Source organism: Homo sapiens, chromosome 10 (genome assembly GCF_000001405.40).
Source record: "Homo sapiens chromosome 10, GRCh38.p14 Primary Assembly".
Taxonomy (NCBI): Eukaryota; Metazoa; Chordata; class Mammalia; order Primates; family Hominidae; genus Homo; species Homo sapiens.
The window spans coordinates 89,793,265-89,799,623 of NC_000010.11; the positions used below are offsets into that span (position 1 = coordinate 89,793,265).

Below are 6,359 nucleotides of genomic sequence, written 5' to 3' on the forward strand. Positions count from 1 at the left end.
TTTACGTAGTTTATTTAAAAAATATTTTGATCCGTGGTTGGTTGGATGTATGGATGTGGAACCCGAGGACATGAAAGATGGACTGTACTTGACAGTTTGGCCTAGGGACAAGTCTGATTGTGTGTGTATTTGTATGTCTCTGACAGCACTTTCTGCCTCATTATAGGGAGAGTTGCACAGGAAGAAATTTGGATTTAGATTTAGATTTCTTACATTGCTAGCCGCTCATTGGTGATTTCTGCTCTGGAAGATGTAAAAGGGCCTTTGGAAGATTATGTAGTTTACCTATATAGATTGCTCTTTTTACTTTATAGCAGTCTTACACAAGGAATTGTCCAATATTCATCACTAATCTGGAGCTTTTTCTAACTCAGTGGTTCTTAATCTTATTTACACAATAAAGTTGCCTACAAGTCTTAAAAAAAATACTAAGCCTGATTCTATCCTACACCCTCTGACTCAGTTGGTCTGGGGAGGGGGTAGGTATTAGATTATTTACAAGCACCTCTCTGATCCTAATGTGCCTCCAGGCTTCAGAGCGTCCGCTAACTGCTAACATTGTGAGGTTATGATTGTCCACCAGATGGAGACAAAGCACTTCTCAATGAAAAAGACCCTGGACAAAACCCATTCTCTGGCCTTACATATGCAACTCCAATTTATGTAATATACTAAACAGGGCAAAAATGTGGAAAGATAGGTAAAATTGTCTTTGGTACTGTTGCTTGCCAACCAAATAAATTCTTGCCACCACTGGGGAAGATTCCAGGAACTAATTAAAAAATAACACATGGCCAAAAATATATTTTTTCATCCAGTTACCTGAATTAGCATGTACAAATATTTTCAAACCTTTTCCTAGTTTACTTTGATAAAATAGACCATATAAATGAGAAGTGTAATATTGTTCATATATTATAGAGTGGAAAATTTTGAAATAAGATCACTCCAAGAATTATGCAAATGGAAATCAACGTCAGCACAAGTAAATTAGCGTAAGATGTGTTGCTCACAGGATTTTAGGAAATCTGCAGATGCAATAATGTGGTTTTGATTTTTTCTGAAGTCTGAAGTACTTGATTGGCAACTCCCACTTTCATTTCTTTCATCTCATTTGTCTAGCTCTGTCATAGAAGCTGTAAAACTACAAACTCCGTCTCTCTGTTCCCTTGTAGGGAGAGATGGTCAATGAGATGTAAGTGAAATCACTAAGGAGGACTTCCCTTCCTGAATAAAATGACAATACCTCAGTACAAGAAATGTCTTTTTCCCTTGTCCCTCCACTCCCGACCTCTTGCTACTATCTTCCCGGAGACATGAAACTTAGAAGTGGAGCAGCCACCACTGTCCATGGGATGACAAGTGTGAGGACAAAAGCCAGTGTAACAAAGAAGGGCAGAATGGACAGGTGAGAGCAGCCTGGGTCCCTCTTTTATGGCAACTCTGAGCAGTTGCTATGCTGACGGGGGACTGCCTATGTTTGCACTTGCTATGAGGGGAAAAGCAACTGTTGATCAGGCTTCCTATTGTTCTCAGATAAATTTTATTCCTAACTGATCCATCACTGAGAAGTTACTATATTGGCATATAGACCATAAATATATTTATAATGTTGACTTTAGACATTATCCTTTCTAAAGAAGCCCTGTGGGCTTTAGACAAAGCTAAGACTTTAGAAGTTTAAGCTTCTTTGTTGTTATTTCTAAAAAGCATGTATTAAGTGCCTAAATTGTCAATACCAGGCAATCTGCCAAGTGTTCATGCCCTAACAACATTTCCTGAGCCAAAGGCACAGTTTGACATAACACCTGATTATGGGGTGAATATTTTCAACAGAATTGTGCTAGAAAATCCAGGCTGTCTGTTGTTCTACTTGACGCAGGCTGTGATTTCTTCAGGGTAGGCACCAGGTCAGAGCAAATACATCACTAGAAACAATAAATGAAATAGCAACAGACAACAAGGTGTTTGCATTATGACAGGCCAAATTTGATCTAAAGGGTAAACAACAAACAAAGGTATCTAATTGGAAAAAGAACTGAGAAAGGGTAAGAGTTTCACATTTTGAAAAGCAGGTTGGTAATTTGTTATTTGATGGTGAGGATATTCAGGAATGTTGCCATTCTGTGGTTCACAGCAGGAGAATTTCATGGAAGAGGATTTCCATGAGCTCACAGGCTGTTTAAAGAACTGGAGAGAACTGAATTGGCAAATGGGGGAAAATATTAGGTTGGTGCAAAAGTAATTGCAGTTTTTGCCTTTACTTGCAATATGTTATAGGCACGTGATTCTGCCTTGGAAGGTCATAAAGACAAAAGGTTGGCCTTCCCTGGAGCAAAACATAGAAATATGTCCCCTGGGGCCGTGTCATATGCCAGTCCTGTAAGCAGCATGGGGGACAGTGATGGTCTACTTAGGTAAGGCAAAAGTGATTGACTGAGAAGTAGAAGGAAGTAAATCTCATTAAATGTTGAATTTCACTGGGGTCTGTTTCTGACACACTTCTTACTTTTATGCATTTAACTATGTGCTGGATAACTTTCAGATTTTTATTTCTAAACTGTCTTAGTCTGTTTATGTTGCTGTAGAGGAATATCTGAGACTGGGTCATTTATAAAGGAAAGAGCTTTACTTGGCTTATGGTTCTTCAGGCTGTACAAGAAGCATAGTACCTGCATCTACTTCTGGTAAGGGCTTCAGGCTGCTTCCAACCAAGGCAGAAGGTGAAGGGGAGCTTCTGTGTGCAGAGATAACATGGTGAAAAAGGAAGCGAGAGAGAGAGTGGGGAGGTGCCAGACTCTTTTTAACAACCAGCTCTGGCAGGAACTAATAGAGCTAGCACTAGAACTCACTCATTACTGTGAGGACAGGCTGCAAGACATTATTGAGGGATCTGCCCATGACCCAAACACCTCCCATTAATGGCCTCTCCTCCAACATTGGGGATCAAATTTCAACATGAAGTTTGGAGAAGTCAAATATCCAAACCATAGCACAAACCTAATCTTCCAAATTTTCCAGCGTTCTCTCCCTGGATTTTTGCAGTTACTTCTAATTCACCGTATCTGCAAATAAACTCATTAAAGTGTCTTTTCTTCCTGTACATTATGTTTCTCATTCTGTATTTTTGACAACTATTTATTGAGTGCCTACACTGTGCCACTCAGTGTGCTAGGGCTGGGGATACAAGGGTGAGCAAGACCAGACCACACCCTCTTTCCTTTACTCCAACCTCCATCCTTTTCCATACTGCTTCCAGGCAGCTTTATCCAAAACTCATGTCTCAATTTTTTTTTTTTGAAATGGAGTCTCACTCTTCAACTCTTCGTCACCTAGGCTGGAGTGCAGTGGTGCGATCTCGGCTTACTGCAACTTCTGCCTACCGAGTTCAAGCGATCGTCCCACCTCAGCCTCCCCAGTAGCTGGGATTATAAGCGTGTGCCACCATGTCCAGCTAATTTCTGTATTCTTAGTAGAGACAGGGTTGGCCAGGCTGGCCTTGAACTCCTGACCTCAAGTCATCCACCTACCTCGGCCTCCCAAAATGCTGGGATTACAGGCATGAGCCACCGCTTCTGGCCATGTCTCAAATTTTTATATCCAAACTATCTTAGTGCATTTGCATTGCCATAAGGGAATATCTGAGACTGGGTAATTTAATAAAGAAAAGAACCATTTCACTTTCCTGGCTAAAGCTTTTCTAGTGATTTAGTGTTTTATGTTGTAAAGTTACTCTAGATTTTTAGCTTAGTTGTCGTTTTCTTCTTCCTCTTGAACTTTACATTTGAGCAACATCAACCTATTCATAGTTTCTTGAGCACGCTATGGCATTTCATGATTCTGAGCCTTTGATCATTCTGTACGGTCCCTGTAGATCCACTTTCTTCTTTCATCTTTGTTTAACTCCCACTTTACTTCTGTCTCACATGCCTTTTCTGTGCTCATAGTGGTTCTTATTTACCCCATTATAGCACTCAGCACATGTGGAGGAAAAGTTAAATATTAAATTTGAACTCAATTGAACGTGGACACAAACAGTAGTCACCAAGTCCTGGAACAGGTTGTGTGAGCCCCTTGAGGCATTCATTCAGCACTGTTTCAGAGAAATCTCTATTTCAATCTATTCCTATATGTTAGTTATCGAAAAACAACAAACAATCGCAAAAACAAGTTGACCTTTTTGTGCTCCTTGAGCCAAGTCGTGAAGGGCCCTCATGACTGGGCCTCATGCCAAACAACTCATTACAAAAAGAGCTAGGGTCCCAGACCATGCTGAATCTTCATGAGACCTCTCCTCGTCTGTGCATGGATGGGTGGCTGACTCTGGAGCCCAGGCTGTTGCTTCCCAGTCTGGTGATGATTCCTCCATAGTCTGGTGAATGTGTATCTATATGTTTTCCCTTCTCCCTTTCCCATTGCAATTAGCTTATTATATCAATTTGCTTATTATATCATTTGCTTATTGTATCTGCATTGCCATTTATGTGGGATAAAGGTTGTTTACCCTCAAAGGTATTGTGTGTGTGCCTTTTCTTTTCTCTTCACGCGTCTCCTGCACAGAATAGCACATTACACTATATTTGTATATTTCACATTTGACTCCTTTTCTGAATGAGTGCACATTAAGGAGGGAGACCTTTATGTCCAGCACTATGCTTGGCAAATGGAATTTGTAATGAAGCCCATTATTGAATGGAATTGGAAGTGAAGAGATAGTTTACTTGGAAAGGAAAGTATTTTGATGCCTATGACAAGAAAGCAATGGATGATTTAAAGTTTGATTGTCCAGTTGGCACCAAAAGTTAACAGCACAAATGTTACAACTTCCTTAAACAGACATACATTCACATCAGCGCACATCCACCTGATCCACTAAATTGTGAACATGTGCAGAGTATTATATTTAAGGTAACACTGATCAGTTATACCTTCCAATTTCAAAAGGAAATCACTCATTTTGCCCTAACGTGTGGTCAGGATTATTGTGGTAATGGCTGTTTGATCCTGAGTCAGTCCATGATAGCACACCTGAGAGTATGATTTATGGGCTGAGTTTTTACAGTTCAAACTGAGAGTGAGAAATAGTCTCTTGATAGCAATACACTGAAAGCATAGATGCTACAACAGCTTCTAAGATGGAGTGTTTATGGACCCAGGTGTTTGGACAGTGGGATAAGTGCAGCTGTATTTGAGACATACCTATATGAAACATTTTTTGTTGTTTATCTGAAATTCAAATTTAATTGGACATCTGGTGTTTTATCTGGCAAGTCTACATAAAATTGACTTGAAAAAACATATCCCAAATTAGGGGCTGCTTGATGTGCTAGGAATAAATACTGTTTTTTATACAGAAAAACTTTTTTAGTTACAGCTATGCATCTCTCTTAGCTGCTATCTCTTTATGAAGTGAGAGTTTCAGATTCGATCATTTTTAGATTTTGCTCAGCTTCACAAGCTTTGAGCAAATAAAATTTTACTAGAAAGACCAATATATAAAACAGATAAGAGCTGAGTTACTTATTAAAGTTGAGTATAGGTCCTTCCCCACCCCAACGTCGAATAATGGAGCACGACCTAAAAACTCCTAGATTTCATGATTTCTAAAATTCCTTCTACTTGTAACAGTCTGTGAGTCCAAATGAACTCATTTCATAGGGAGAAATAATCTAGTTTGTGGTTAGTCATAGCCTGTTCTTTCCTATTTATAGTTGAAAAGGCTAGAGAGAGAAGGAAAGAAAAGTATTATTACCAATGAAGGTGGCATTTAGGAAGGATAAAATGGACTTATTAACTATCTTCATTTATTCAACAGACATTTGTTGAGCAGTCTCTAAAGACAAGGTAATATACTATGTACTTTGAAGGGAGAATATTAATAGCAATTTTTAGAATGACCTCTTAATTTAGTTGGTGAGCTAAAATTTGTGCACAGGTAATTGTATCTGCTATTTTGTGAGGTTTACTATGTACTGGGTATTTTACTGCTTACAATGTTATAAAATATTTGCCTGAACATTGGTCCCACTCACAGTTCCTGTTCCTTTGCATTTGTTCTCATTGAAGCCTTACTTCCTTTCAGATTTTTTTTCCTAAAACTTACAAGGAAAGAATTCCTCTACATCTCATTTTTATCTCTGAATCTGTCTTGGTGATATAGGACATTTCTCTTTATTAGAAGCCCTGTCTTTGTTCAACTTTAGGATGATGAAGTCATAACAAGTTTTTCTCAAATATGCATTACTGAGACTCAATCTCCTCCAACAGTGTGATGTGTCCTCAGGTTGGCAGTCCAAGAGGTAATTTTAAACATCACTCTTATTTTCACCCATTCACATGCTGAGGCTGTTACCAGGCCT

General features: G+C 39.1%; 1 annotated feature.

Moving 5' to 3' along the window:
* Positions 635-684: a silencer, noted in NCBI's record as "silent region_2596". NCBI's record gives its function as "represses an Ori minimal core promoter by ATAC-STARR-seq in GM12878 lymphoblastoid cells {active_cell/tissue: GM12878}" and the evidence as "EXISTENCE:reporter gene assay evidence [ECO:0000049][PMID:35858748]".